General features: G+C 45.5%; 1 long non-coding RNA gene and 1 pseudogene across 1 annotated transcript; one reads left to right on the forward strand and one right to left on the reverse strand.

The window, feature by feature from the left end:
• Positions 1-2,033: 2,033 nt before the first annotated feature.
• Positions 2,034-14,607, forward strand: LOC105369923 (uncharacterized). The gene is made up of 3 exons (XR_945238.2): positions 2,034-2,323; positions 5,610-5,660; positions 13,972-14,607. It is a non-coding gene; the product is annotated as an uncharacterized LOC105369923 (long non-coding RNA).
• Positions 7,942-8,234, reverse strand: RN7SL88P (RNA, 7SL, cytoplasmic 88, pseudogene; annotated as a pseudogene).
• Positions 14,608-15,702: the final 1,095 nt, after the last annotated feature.

Below are 15,702 nucleotides of genomic sequence, written 5' to 3' on the forward strand. Positions count from 1 at the left end.
ATACATATCCCTTGTTCACTGTTTTCATTCATTCAACAAATATTTATTGAACGCTCACCTTGTGCCAAGCACTCATTTACATAATAGGGATATAGTAGAAGACAAACAGGAAAAATCAGTGACCTCATGGAGTGGACACAGACAACATCATAAATAAAATATCTAGTATGTCAGACAATAAGCGTATGGAGAAAAATAAGCAGGGAGAGGTGAGAAGGAGTGCTGTCTGGGGAGAGGAAGGTCGTTATTTTAAAGAGAGTGGTCAGGGAAGGCTTCTCTGAGAAAAGAATGTTTGAGCAAAGACCTGAAGGCGGAGGGAGTGAGCCACGTGGCTCCCTGAGGGAATCCTGCAATTGCAAAGACTCCAGACAGGAAGGTGACTTACTGGTCCAAAACAGCAGGGAAGCAGGTGTGGCTGGAGCAGAGTGAGTGAACTGCCTGAGGGCTGGTGTTTAGTTTAGAGAGAGGAAGCCAGCCCAGATGGTAAAGGGCAGTGGTTTTCAATGGGGTGGTGCCATCTGATAGTGGGTGTTTGTGAAATTCACGGAGATGTTTTTGTCTTCTACTGTAGTTGTGCCTGAATGTTTACATATTAAAATGCATCTCTTATTGTGGGCTTTCTTTTTATTTCTGCTTTGTATTTTAGATATGACTCTTAAAAATTGTGCATGGAGGGAGGTCATATTATCTCTGAATTCCAATTCTGGATTGCAAAGGCGGTGTTATACCATGTTGCTACTAACAGCTGCTAACTTGCATCTAACAAAGCTGAGACTCCAGAGAGGGACCATAAAGGTCATTGTGAGAACTCTAAATTTCACTCTTTAAGCTGAGTTGTTTGAGTAGAGTTGAGCAGAGGAGTGGTGGGGTCAGACTTAGGATTTAAACAGCTCTTCATGCCTGCCGTATGGAGAACAGAATGCAGGGGCCAGGGGAGAAGCCTGGAGACCAGGTAGGAGGCTGCGGCACTAATGGCGAAAGATGGAGGTGGCAGTGGAGGAGTGAAAAGTGGTCTGATTCTGTGATATATTTCAGAAGGCGGGAGCTATAAGGTTTTCTGAAAAAGATTTGTAGGGTGTGAGAGAAAGAGAGGTGTTGAGAATGACTCCATATTTTTGACCTGAGCATTGAAGGATGTAGATACCATCAACTGAAATGGAAAGCCTATAGGTAGAGTTGGTTTGGGGAAAACACCAGAATTTACTGGACACCAAACTATAAACTATATGCCAGGAACTATTTTAGGCACCAGGAACTTTCATAGGTCTGATACAGAGCATTATGTAAAGGAGTTCATCAGGCCAGAAGCTGAGGCCAGCAAGGACCAGCCTGTTTGACATGTAGGATTCCAGCTAGACTCTAAGCCTTCTGGGGTCAGTGAGCATGGTATGGTGTCTTGATCAACTCTGTGACCCACTTAGGACATGTTTGATAACTATCTATGGAATGAATGATGACTCTCTGCCTCTCATTCTCTGAGTGATTCAAATCATGACGGCATGAAAGTGTATCCTTATGTACAACCATAAAATTATTAGAATAACTGTTCTGGGTTTAGGCAAGGATTTCTTTTGGCTCATTTTGGATATTCTTATAAGATTGTAGCACCTCTAGAACAAAGATAGTGTATTTAATCTTTGAATCTGCAGGGCCTAGCGCCTAGCAGGTATTTGTTGAATGAAAACATTTCAGTGTATTTCCTCAGACTTTTTAAAATCAGGTATATTTTTATGGCCTTGTGATCATAATACCCATTTTATTTGTTTCCTAATTTTTACTTACTCCTTTGTTAAAATTATTTTTCCATATATAGATTCTTCATTAACTACTATTTTTATGACTGCACAATAATTTATTGCATATGGATAAACCATAATTCCATTACTCATTTCCTCATTATCCAATAAGATTCTTTTGGGCTATCAAAATAATAAATAAAACATCAATGAATATTTTCCTTAATGAGGCCTTTTATGTACTTTAGGTTATTTTAGTAGAGTGGTAAGATTTCTTGGTCAAGGACTATAGCAGACATTATTAGTATTTACCAACATCTGTGTTTCTCTGCTCCTTTTGGGCATGCAGAAAGGAGGCTTCACTTCTCAGCCTCCTTGCCATTGGGTAGGGTCATATGAATAGCTCTGGACAATGAAGCACACTTCATTGTGAATGGAAGTGATGTGTGAATTTCCTGGATGTGGCTATAGAAAGCCTATGCATGATTTGCCAATCTCTCCTGTTTTCTGCAAGGGTGACCAATGACATTCCAGATGGTAGAGTCCCTGAGTGACACAGAACAACCCTCCCTGTTCACCAACCTGAGGTGGGTATGTTGGAACTTTTGTTACAGTAAACTACTAGGATTCTGGGGTTAATTTGTTACCACTGGTAACCTAGTCTTTCCTGACTAATACAGAGACTCTGAGCCTTATGACACATTAGAGTATATATTGGCAAATTGCACAGTGTATATATAGTAGGTACCCAATAAATATCTCTTAAATGAATTAATGAGACTGGCCACCAAAATTACATGAAAATACCAATTTCAATGCTTATCAACAGCAATGGATTTATTACTTGATAGTTCTTGCCAACTTAATAGGCAAAAATATTGTCTTGGCTATATTTTAATTTGTATTTCTTTGCTTATTGGAAAAACTGAACATTTTTCATCTGTTGTTAGCTATTTCCTCTTTCGTATATTATTTGCTCTAAAGCTTTCATTCACTTTCAGTAACTATATGTTGAATGCCTTCACTGTTCTAGATATTGGGGCTGTACTAGTGAATAATTTTGCTGTCGTGAACTTTCATTCAGGAGGGGAGAAAAATGACGTGTACACAAATACTTAAATATTTTAGGTAATGGTAAGTGCTATGAAAATAAAGCAAGGTATGAGACTTAAAGATTGGCTGGGTGTGTTTTCACGCTGACTGGTCATGCAGGGCCTTTCTGATAATGTCATTTTTGAACAAAGGGGATGAGCCCAGCGGATATTGGAAAGAAAGGTGTTCAGGCCAAGGGAACAGCACATACAAAGGCCTTAAGGCAGGGGCATGCTGGATATTTTTGGGGATCTAGCAAGAAGCCAGTCTGGCTGAAGCAGAGTGAGCAAGATGGGAGTAGTAGGAGATGAGAGTGGAGAGGTAACAGGCCACAGCATGAAGAGTCTTGCTTTTTGCTTTTTGCTTTTCTTTGGATTGATATGAGAGTCACTGAGGGCCTTTGAGCTTAGGAGTGACATGGTATGACTTACTATTTAAAAGGATTACTTTGGCTTCTCTGTAGATAAGAGACAGTAGTGGTTAAGTGAGAAGGGATCAGATTCTAGATATTTTTTGTGGTAGAGCTAATTGATTTTGATGATAGGTTGGATATGGGAGTGGAATGTGAGAAATAAAGGAGTCAAGAATGATTTCAAGATTTTTTTTTTTTTAATTGAGACGGAGTTTCACTTTTGTTGTCCAAGCATGATCTCAGCTCACTGCACCTCCGCCTCCGGCGTTCAAGCGATTCTCCTGCCTCAGCCTCCCAAGTAGCTAGAATTACAGGTGTGCGCCGCCACTCCCGGCTAATTTTTGTATTTTTACACAATACAAAATACGTGGGGTTTCACCATGTTGACCAGGCTGTTCTTGAAATCCTGACATCAGGTGATCCACCCACCTTGGCCTCCCAAAGTGTTGGGATTACAGGCGTGAGCCACCACACCCTGCCTGATTTCAAGATTCTGACTTGAGCAATTGGGAAAATGTAGTTGCCATTTACTTTATTGCTCCATTAAACTATATTTGGTATTTTTAATGACTCCAGAAAATTCCATGTCAGAAATCAAATAAACAGTATACTGTGGTGGATAAAGTACTTGATTTCCAGGCCAGGGGTAGGTCTTGATTGACTTCAACCAGTTATGGTCCACTGGGTGCCATGGCTGCAGTAACTGGTTCAGGGATGGTCCTATGACCTTAGATTATCCAATCGGAGGCCCAGGACTTTCATTTAACAATCTGGGAGAGATGCTGCTGCTTCTGCTAGAAATGAACAAGGAAGCATGCTCCCTGAGGCTTCTGGTAGCCCTCTTGCTCCTTTGAGAGAAATCACCCTTAAGATGAACTTGACATGGAAAGCAGAGGAAAGAGTTAAAAAGAAAGCCAGGTGTTTTGTGACATGGTTGAGTCACTGCATCCATCCTCACCTGAAATCTATCCAGAGACTGTTCAGCTACATGAGCCAGTACACTTTCCTTTATTGTTTATGCCATTTGGGGCTGTATTTTCTTTTTCTTTTTTCTTTTTTTTTTTTTTGAGACAGAGTTTCACTCTTGTTGCCCAGGCTGGAGTGCAATGTCACAATCTTGGCTCACCGCAACCTCCGCCTCCCGGGTTCAAGTGATTCTCCTGCCTCAGCCTCCCGAGTAGCTGGGATTACAGGCATGCACCACCATGCCTGGCTAATTTTGTATTTTCAGTACAGACGGGGTTTCTCCATGTTGGTCAGGCTGGTTTTGAACTCGTGATCTCAGGTGATCTGCCCGCCTCAGCCTCCCAAGGTGCGGGAATTACAGGCGTGAGCCACCGTGCCCGGCCTTGGGCTATATTTTCTATTACTTGCCACTAAGCATGTCCTGACCCACATAAGCAGCTTTCACATAAATGCTATCCACAGTTCTCAGGCAGAATGCTCTCACCACCTGTGATCTTGGAACACAGGAAATAGTCACCCTAGAAAATCTGCAACCTATTTGAGCCTGAGGATTGGAGGGTTACATCATGCTGTGTAAGAGAAGAGGCCACCTTCAGAACATATGCTGTCCAAAATCCTGGAGGAATGGATCCCAGGAACTGTCAGCGCAGCAGACATCACCTGGCATCACAGGATCTCAGCTGCTCCCCCAGCAACGAGGGCCAGTCCTTCTCCCTGAAACAGAGTATCATTGGCAAGTAGCTTCTGGAGTGTTTACAGTCATCCTCATCAATTTCTGGAAGCATGGGGTAGAAACTGATTCTGAAGGCAAAGTCTCCAAGAATAGCAACACCCTTCTTCAGCATTTGTTCCTGAAAATCCTTTACCAATGTGTGCTCTTTGGGAGACAGTTTAAGGTCACGGAGAGCAGGACAGACAGTGGAATCAGACTACCTGGACTTCCCTCCTGGCTCCTCCAGGACTACTAAACCCAAAAGAGGGGTCTCAGGGCTGAGGGCAGTGGGCAGATATGGCCCCTGCATCCCAGTCTTAGCAAATCCTCTGCACAGGGTTGGCGGTTGAGATTTTAGGGATTGTGGTACGGTGGGCTTCCTGGAGCCTGTGCTCTCTAATTGTCTTAGTGGCTAAGAGCATCAGGAGTTTGCAGCCACACTGCTGGGATTTGAGCCTTAGATCTACCACCTACAGACTGCACAAGTTATTTAACCTTTCTATGCCTCAGTTTCCTTCCCTGTAAAATTAAAATAATAAAAAGGTATTTATCTCCTAGAGTTGCTTAGAAGATAAATGAGTTACTACATGTAGTCTGAGAATGATGCCTGGGACTCTGTTAGTCAGTTTGGGTTGCCATAACAAAGACCATGGACTGGGTGGCTGAAGCTACAGAACTTTATTTCTCACAGTTCTAGGTGCTGGAAAGTCCAAGATCCAGACACCGTCAGATCCCATGAATGGTGAGTGTTGCTTCCTGTTTTGTAGATGGCTGTATTCTCGTTGTATCCTCACACAGCAGAGAGCCGACAGAGCTCTCTGGGATCCCTTTTAAAAGGGCATTAATCCCATTCATGAAGGCTCTATTCTCAGGACCTAATCACCTCCCAAGGGTCCCAGCTCCTAATGCCATTACATTGGGGGTTAGGATTTGAACATACGAATTTGGGGCTGGGAGACACAAACATTCAGGTCTATAATGGGCACGTAATAAATGTTTACTGAGTATTAGCTTTTGGGTTGCCTGTAACTTGCTAAGAAATAATGTTACAAAAAAAAAAAAAAAAAAAAGCACCAAAGGCAAAAATGAATGGAAAGAAAGGAAGAGAAGTGCATATACAAAGCAGATACCACTTAATGTCTGACAGAAAAAGGAATGGCTGTTGTGCCTTTCAGTAAGGTTCAATCTTTTTCCTCCAGCCAGGGTGTAGTTTCTGGGCTGGAACCAGAGAGCAGGAAGAGGAAGCCCAGCGTCCCCTTCCTGTTGCCACCAGCCTTTGCAGCTGGCTGCTGGTGTGTGTTTTTATGTTTGTGTTTTTGAGATGGAGTCTCGCGCAGTTGCCCAGGCTGGAGTGCAGTAGCGTGATCTCGGCTCATTGCAACCTCTGTCTCCCGGGTTCAAGTGATTCTCCTGCCTCAGCCTCCCAAGTAGCTGGGGTTATAAGCATGTGCCACCACGCCTGGCTAATTTTTGTAATTTTACAGGGTTTCTCCATGTTGGCCAGGCTGGTCTCGAACTACTGACCTCAAGTGATCTGCCTGTCTCGGCCTCCCAAAGCGCTGGGATTACAGGCGTGAGTCACCACGCCTGGCCTTTTTTTTTTTTCTTTTTTCAATGCTGCATAATCCTCTTCCTAATTACAATAAACACTCCTCACTATAAAATTTTGCTTTATGTTTTCATAGCCCTTTCCCATCTCTTCCCTTCCTATCTGATCCCCACAACAGAATCGGGTAGAGCCTATTGTTTTCCCACTTCACAGATGGGGAAGAGTAGGGCTTGGGCTTGCCATCCAGCTCAGATAAGATCCAAAGGCATGCCAAGATCGTCGGTTCTTTTTTCTTCTTCTTCTTCTTTTTTCTTTTTTTTTTTTTGAGACGGAGTCTTGCTCTGTTGCCCAGGCTGGAGTGCAATGGCACGATCTTGGCTCACTGCAACCTCTGCCTCCCAGGTTCAAGTGATTCTCCTGCCTCAGCCTCCTGAGTAGCTGGGATTACAGACACGCACCACCATGCCTGGCTTATTTTTGTATTTTTAGTAGAGACAGAGTTTCACCATGTTGGCAGGCTGGTCTCGAACTCCTGACCTAGTCATCTGCCCGTCTTAGCCTCTCCAAGTGTTGGGATTACAGGCATGAGCCACCGCACCCGGCCTCCTTTTCTTCTTCATATATATATATATATATATATATATATATATATATATATATAAAAATATATATATATATAAATATATATATATATAAAAATATATATATATATAAATATATATATATATAAAAATATATATATATATAAATATATATATATATAAATATATATATATAAATATATATATATATAAATATATATATATATAAATATATATATATATAAATATATATATATATATTTCCAAATGTTCTTTTCTGTTTGTTTTTTGAGACAGAGTCTGGCTCTGTCGCTCAGGCTAGAATGCAGTGGCATGATCTTGGCTTACTGCAGCCCCCCAGGTTCAAGCGATTCAAGGTTCTCAGCTCACTGCAGTCCCCCAGGTTCAAATAATTCTCCTGGCCTAGCCTCCCGAGTAGCTAGGATTACAGGCATGCAACACCATGCCTGACTAACTTTTGTATTTTTAGTACAGGCAGTATTTTTCGAACTCCTGACCTCAAGTGATCTACCTGCCTCAGCCTCCCAAAGTACTGGGATTACAGGCACGTGCCACCACATCCAGCTCAAAATGTTCTTAAATTTTAAAATGTATTGCTAACTTTCCTTATGTTTTAATAGTAAGGAGTAACTCATATTAAGCATCACATGTACCAGGCATTACTTTAAGAGCTGTATCTGTATTGTCATTTACTTCTCACAACAGCCCAATTAGATAGCTGTTATTATTTTTCTCCTTTTACAGATGACATCACTGAGTTACAGTGACCTACCACTATTAAGTTTAAACTCAGGTAGTTTGGTTCTAGAACAAACACACTTAACTATTATACTAGTTTACATGTTCATGGTAGAATTTATTTTTATTTTTTTAGAGACAGGGTCTTGCTATGTTGCCCAGGCTGGAGTGCAGTGGCTATTCACCGACACTATCCCACTAGTGATCAGCATGGGAGTTTTGACATGCTCTGTTTCTGATCTGGGCTGATTCACCCCTCCTTAGGCAACCTGGTGGTCCCCTGCTCCCAGGAGATTACCATATTTATGCTGAACTTAGTGCGGATAACTGATTGGCATAGCACACTTTAGCCCAGAATTTCTGGCCTCAAGCAATCCTCCCTGCTCAGCCTCCTGAGTAGCTGGGACTACAGGCAAGTGCCACCACGTCTAGCCATGGTAGAATTTTTAAACACCAGCAAAGCAAAAAAAAAAAAAAAAGAAGAACAAGAAAAAGAAAAGTTTTAAAATCATTATAATCCCAATACTCAGATATAACTACTGTTAACATTTGATATATGTGGATAAATTAGACATGAGATGTGGAGTGAAAGGGAAGAACATATTTCAGAATTACTTGGGGGAGCTTTTGAAATATGTATATACTTGAAGTACTTTACTCAAGGAGGAAGGACAGGCATGAGGATTTGGGGTGAAACATTTAGTGGATGCTAATAAACAGCCTCCACTTTTCTCTTCTACTCCCCAATTGCCTCACTGCCACCCCAGTCGAATGTCACCCGTGTATCTTTCCAGTCTTTCTTCCAGGCATAGCTACATATGCATACACATAAATACACACTTGTAAATGGCAAACCAAACACTAATTAATGGTAGTTTAAAAAAAAAAAAACCAGCTGGGTGTGGTGGCTCATGTCTGTAATCCCAGCACTTTGGGAGGCCAAGGTGGGCGGATCACCTGAGGTCAGGAGTTTGAGACCAGCCTGGCCAACATGGCGAAACCCTGCCCCTACCAAAAATATAAAAAGAATTAGCCAAGCATGGTGGCAGGTGCCTGTAGTCCCAGCTACTGGAGAGGCTGAGGCAGGAGAATCGCTTGAACCCAAGAGGCGGAGATTGCCGTGAGCCGAGATGGCGCCACTGCACTCCAGCCTCGGCAATAGAGCACAACTCCGTCTCAAAAAATAAAAAAATAAAATAAAAACCAAGGCAGGCAGGAGCTGCTGGCACATTTTATGATCACATTCTTAATTGCTGTGGATTCTTGCTGCACCTCAAGGGCACACTCATCTGACAAATACAAGATTCCAGGCTGGAACCTGACGGGTTTTTGGCATCAACATCCCTTGCTGTGAATTTGTTGTTTTGCTGTTTGGTAAGTGGAAGTGACCAAGCTATTCCCCTGCCCGTGTTCTCCCAGGGGCCCTCTACTTCCGGCTGATATGTACTGTACAGTCTTCCAGACACAGCCTCGAGCCAGGGCGCTGGAAAACTGCCTGTGCCCATGTTATTCCCCATTCAGGCTGGCTCCAGGGCCTGGGGAGAAGAGGCCTAGGGCAAACCCAACAGGATGCCTGGTGCGCTCAGGAAGGAGTAGAACCTGAGCCACAGAAGGGAGAAGTAGAACAAGGTGTTTCCTCTCTCTGATCTCCGCCATAGCCCACTCTGGCACTTGTCACACCACTCCCCAGGTACTCATGTACTCCTCTGTCCCTCATAGTGGTCTGTGTGCTCTTTATGGGCAGGTATCAGACTTGGTTCATTTTTCTTTCTTCCTTTTTGCATCCTGATTGCTTGGAATGGCACCTGGAACGGAGGGAGCAGTAGATTCCTATTGGGATGAGGCCAGGCATGGTAGCTTACGCCTGTAATCCCAGTACTTTGGGAGGCCAAGGTGGACAGATCGCCTGAGGTGAGGAGTTCGAGACCAGCCTGGCCAACATGGTGAAACCTCGTCTCTATTAAAAATACAAAAAAAAAAAAAAAAAAAATTAGCCAGGCGTGGTGGTGCACGCCGATAGTCCCAACTACTCAGGAGGCTGAGGCAGGAGAATTGCTTGAACCCAGGAGGTGGAGGTTGCAGTTAGCCGAGATCACATCTGCCATTGCACATCAGCCTCCAGTCTAGGCAACAGGGCAAGACTCCATCTAAATATATATATATATATATATACACACACACACACATACACACATATATATATACACACACACACACACACATATATACACACATATATGTATACACATATATATACACACATATATATACACACACACACACACACACACATATATATATATATTCCCTTTGGGATGAATAACAGGCATAACCATAGCTAACACTGATTGAGGGCCTCTCTGTGCTCAAAGGCAGATAAATAAGACAGAACTTTCTCTTCTAATCTTTCCAACAACCCCATAAGGTAGAATCCAGATTCTATTATTATCTTCTTTGTAGAGTGAAGGAAATTAGGCAGAGAGACACTAATTAATTTGTCCAAGGTGGCAGAGATCAGTGGCTGGCTGCAACCCAAACCAGGAAGTTTAGTTCCAAAATTCCAGTTCTTAGTCCTTCCTCTATCCCACTTCTCCCACCCACTCTCTCCTGCAAGTCAGTGACCATAGTGGTCACCTTAGGGTTTCACTTTATTATGTCATTCCCCTGATCAAGAACCTTCCAGGCCAGGCTCCCCAGCACAGCATGGAGGCTGTCTAGGGTTGTCCCCAGCCTCCTGAGCAGTGACCTCCTCTTTCAGAGGCAATAGGAGCTTGGTCCCAACTCTACCATCTACCACTGTGTGACTGTGGCCATGGGACTTAACCTCTTTCCACCTCGGGCTCCTCCACTGTAGAATGAGAAGTACTGGGGCTGACTTCACATGGCTTATGACGGCTTGAGAGTCATCAGTGTGGGCACTGCTTAGAACAGGGGTTGGAAAACGTTTTCTAAAAAGGGCCAGATGGTAAGTATTTTTGGCTTTGTGGGCCATATGGTCTCTGCAACAACTGCTCAACTCCGCCATTGTAGTCCAAAAGTAGAAGCTATAGGCCTGGTGCAGTGGCTCACGCCTGTAATCCTAGCACTGTGGGAGGCTGAGGCGGGCGGATCACCTGAGGTCAGGAGTTCAAGACCAGCCTGGCCAACATGGCAAAACCCTATCTCTACTAAAAATATAAAAATCAGCCGGGCGTGGTGATGCACACCTGTAATCCCAGCTACTTGGGAGGCTGAGGCAGGAGAATCGCTTGAACCCGGGAGGCGAGGTTGCAGTGAGCCGAGATCGCACCACTGCCCTCCGGCCTGGGTGACACAGCAAGACTCTGCCTCAAAAAAAAAAAAAAAAAAAAAAAGCAGAGGATATGGTCTGAATGTTTTGTGTCCCCCCAAATTCGCATGTTGAAATCCTAACCCCCAGGGTGATAGTATCAGGAGATGGGGCTTTGGGGAGGGGATTAGGCTATGAGGGTAAAGCCTTCAAGACTGCGACTAATGCCCTTGTAAAAGAGGCCCCAGAGAGCTAGCTAGCCTCTCCCATTATGTGAGGACACAGGGAGAAGGTATCATCTAGAAATGAATTAGAAATGAATTTTCTACAAACTAGAAAGCCCTCACCCAACACTGAATCTGCTGGGGCCTTGATCTTGGGCTTCCCCACTCCTAGAACTGTGTGACATAAATGTCTGTTGTTTATAAGGCGCTATTTTGTTGTAGCAGCCCAAAGAGACAAGCAGCCATGGACAAGATGAAAAATAATTTGTATGGCTATATATCAATAAAAGTTTATTTATGGCTGAGTGCAGTGGCTCAGGCCTATAATCTCAGCACTTCAGGAGGTAGAGGCAGGAGGACCACTTCAGCCCAGGAGTTCAAGACCAGCCTAGGCAATATAGCTAAACCCCATCTCTGCAAAAAAAGTTTAAAATAAGCCTGGCGTGGTGGCGCACGGGTAGTACCAGCTACTCGGGAGGCTGAGGTGGGAGCATGGCTTAAGCCCCGGATGTCAAGGCTGCAGTGAGCCATGATCACACCACTACACGCCAGCCTAGGCAACAGAGTGAGAAGCTGTCTCGAAAAAAAAAAAAAGTTTATTTATGGGCACTAAAATTTGAATTTCAAATAATTCTTATGTGGCATGAAATATTATTTCTAGTTTTTTCCTAACCATTTAAAAATGTGAAAACCTTTCTTAGCTCATGGACATTATATACAAAAACAGGTGTGGGGCTAGATTTGGTTCACAGGCTGTAGTCTGCTGACACCTAGTTTAGAGCAGTATCTGGTACAAAGGAAGAGCTTAATACATCTGAGACAGACAGTGTGAAGTAAGGTAACAAGTAGGAGGTTTTATAAGGTGCCGAGGGCCCTGGCTTGGTGGGGACATGTGGCTGGAATAGATGTGTTAAATATAGGAGACAGAGATGAGAACCCAACATCTGCTGAGTGCTGACTGTGGCCATGCACCACACTTTCCACATTTCCTCCCATTGAGTCCTCACACTGACCTTGTACCTTACACCTGTTTACAGAGATGATGAGTGAGGCTCAGAGAGGTTAAGTAATACGCCCAGAGTTACACAGCTTTTAAGTGACAGAGTCAGGATCTGAACCCAGGTTTTATAGAACACCAAAGACTGGGCTTTTTCTATGAGACTGTCATTTGCTGAACATGTATTTTATTGAAAACAGATGTACAAGGTGCTATGCCAGGTTTGGGAACACAGTGGTGTAAAAGATGTACACCCCATGGAGTGTATAGTCTGGTAGGAGAGACCAGGCATCCAAACGAGCAATTATAACTCAGGGTGACATCTCCAGGATGAAAATGAACAAGGGAGCTCAGAATGTACAGTTCTTACCCATGTATGGAAAATCAGAGAAGGCTTCCTGAAGGAAGCAATGTCTAACCAGATGGAAGGTCAAGAAGGAAAGACCCAGGAAGGCACGAAACAGGGGCTAATGATACTAAACTACAATTTGTTTTCTTGCATATGCAGGTTGTGGCTGGTGCCCCTACCTCTCAGATTTGCTGCCCTTGATAGTCCAATCTCTTCTTAGGAGGGTGCCTGCGTCTTTTTTTTTTTTTTCCTTTTTTTTTTTTTGAGACAGAGTCTCACTCTGTTGCCCAGGCTGGAGTGCAATGGCATGATCTCAGCTCATTACAGCCTCTGCTTCCTGGGTTCAAGCAATTCTCTGCCTCAGCCTCCCGAGTAGCTGGGATTACAGGTGCCTGCCACTACACCCGGCTATTGTATTTTTAGTATAGATGGTGTTTCACCATGTTGGCCAGGTTGGTCTTGAACTCCTGGCCTTGTGATCCACCTGCCTCGGCCTACCAAAGTGTCCCAACAGTTTGGATTACAGGCGTAAGCCAGCACGCCCAGCCCGGGGTCCTGTGTCTTTTGTCCTTAGCTGTCCTTTGCCTCCATCCCCTCTCATTCTGAAATGCTACTATGGTTTTGTTTCAGAGCTCCCCAGAGACACAACTCAGCCCCTCTCTGCTTTCCTCATTACTTCAAGTGTTCCATGAATTCAGTAAACCTGATTCAAGATTTTGGTGGAGGGTGGGGATGGGAGTGCGGTATCCATGGGGAGGGGTCATTCCTGGAGCACTGGGCTTCCGCCCTCTCCTGGCCCCCCACTTCCTCCCTGGAGTTGCAAACAAAATCCTCCCTTTGTCTTGTTGGGAGCGTTCCCTCCCACCTCCGGCCAGAAGGATCTCGGTTCCTACTTGAACTTAGCAAAGTATTTTCTCAACAAAGACAGCTCTACCTTCCTAAGAGGAATTCTGATACATAAAAAGTTCTCTTTACACCTCTGTTGTTTCATTCAACCCTCCAAGCAAATCGCTGGAATAGCGATCATCGTCCCCATTTTACAGATGGGGAAACTGAGTAACAAACCCATGTGATGGTGCCGGGAGTTAAAGGCAGGACTGCCAGAATCCAAAGCCTCCTTCCCCAGCCACTGGCTATTCCACTTTCCAACACCACTGTGATGGGGTCTGGGGAAGGCAGGGGAGGGGACAGCCTAGTTGGGCTAGCAGGGAAGATGAAGGCCAGGAACTGGGACCATAGAAGTATAGTTTCACCAGAGACACTCGTTTCCCATTACTTAAACCTCCACAATCTTCCAGTGAATGTTTCTTACTGCCGTTTTTCCAGAATGAGAGAATTGGACAAGACAGGCTTCAGTCACAGACACCCCAAGCAGACCAGGATCCTTCCTAAGAGGAACACAATTCCCCTCATGGGTTGGGGTTTGGATGTTTGGTTCAGGAAGAGCCTAGGACCTGGCTGCGGTCACCCAGGGCGCCCAGCACTCGACCCGAGAACATTTCTGAAAGTAGCACTGCAGTTCCTCGATAACTGAGCAGACTCCAAGGAGACAAGGAGAAAACAGAAAATAAGAAAGGAGGTAACAAAGAGACCATTCTAAATTCAAAAAAGCAATTTTAGAATCAAAGTGAATTCGGCTATTGAAGCCAGAAACTACAGAAGTTCACACGGTGAGGTCTTGGCCTTAGCTCTTCAGCGAGCTGGGTTCCACGTCGGGGAAATGAAGTTACCGTGAAATCAAAGCCTCAGAGGGTGAATCAAGGAGCCGGCATGTAAGCACCTTGGTTAAGCCTGTGCCCAGAGGAAGGCCAAAGAACAGCAGACAACAGGAACCCCGCCTTCAGGAAGCCTTCAGCAGGAGCAGCAAAAATCTGCTTCCTCTCCAACCCTAAGGTCACTGCAGGCTGACAAACCCTTCCCCCACGCCCTGCCACTTGAGCAGCTCAGCTCCCTGCAACCCACCCGTCCTAACCCCCACCCCCAGCTGAATCACAGAGGCCACTTTTTTTTTTTTTTTTTTTTGGGACGGAGGCTTGCTCTGTCACCCAGGCTGGAGTGCACTGGCGTTGAGAGGTGACAGCGTGCTGGCAGTCCTCACAGCCCTCGCTCAATCTCGGCGCCTCCTCTGCCTGGGCTCCCACTTTGGCGGCCCTTGAGGAGCCCTTCAGCCCGCCGCTGCACTGTGGGAGCCCCTTTCTGGGCTGGCCAAGGCCAGAGCCGGCTCCCTCAGCTTGCAGGGAGGTGTGGAGGGAGAGGCGCGGGCGGGAACCGGGGCTGCGCGCGGTGCTTGCGGGCCAGCGCGAGTTCCGGGTGGGCGTGGGCTCCGCGGACCCCGCACTCGGAGCGGCCGGCCGGCCCCACCGGCCCCGGGTACTGAGGGGTTTAGCACCTGGGCCAGCAGCTGCTGTGCTCAATTTCTCGCCGGGCCTTAGCTGCCTTCCGGCGGAGCAGGGCTCGGGACCTGCAGCCTGCCATGCCTGAGCCTCCCCCACGCTCCGTGGGCTCCTGTGCGGCCTGAGCCTCCCCGACGAGCGCCACCCCCTGCTCCAGGGCGCCCAGGCCCATCCACCACCCAAGGGCTGAGAAGTGCGGGCGCACGGCCCAGGACTGGCAAGCAGCTCCACCTGCAGCCCCGGTGCGGGATCCATTGAGTGAAGCCAGCTGGGCTCCTGACTGTGGTGGGGACGTGGAGAACCTTTATGTCTAGCTAAGGGATTGTAAATACACCAATCAGCACTCTGTATCTAGCTCAAGGTTTGTAAACACACCAATCAGCACCCTGTGTCTAGCTCAGGGTTTGTGAATGCACCAGTCGACACTCTGTATCTAGCTACTCTGATGGGGACTTGGAGAACCTTTGTGTCGACACTGTATCTAGCTAATCTGGTGGGGACGTGGAGAAACTTTGTGTCTAGCTCAGGGATTGTAAATACACCAATCGGCACTCTGTATCTAGCTCAAGGTTTGTAAACACACCAATCAGCACCCTGTGTCTAGCTCAGGGTTTGTGAATGCACCAATCGACAATCTGTATCTAGCTACTCTGGTGGGGACTTG

This window comes from Homo sapiens, chromosome 12, assembly GCF_000001405.40.
Source record: "Homo sapiens chromosome 12, GRCh38.p14 Primary Assembly".
In the NCBI taxonomy this organism is placed as follows: Eukaryota; Metazoa; Chordata; class Mammalia; order Primates; family Hominidae; genus Homo; species Homo sapiens.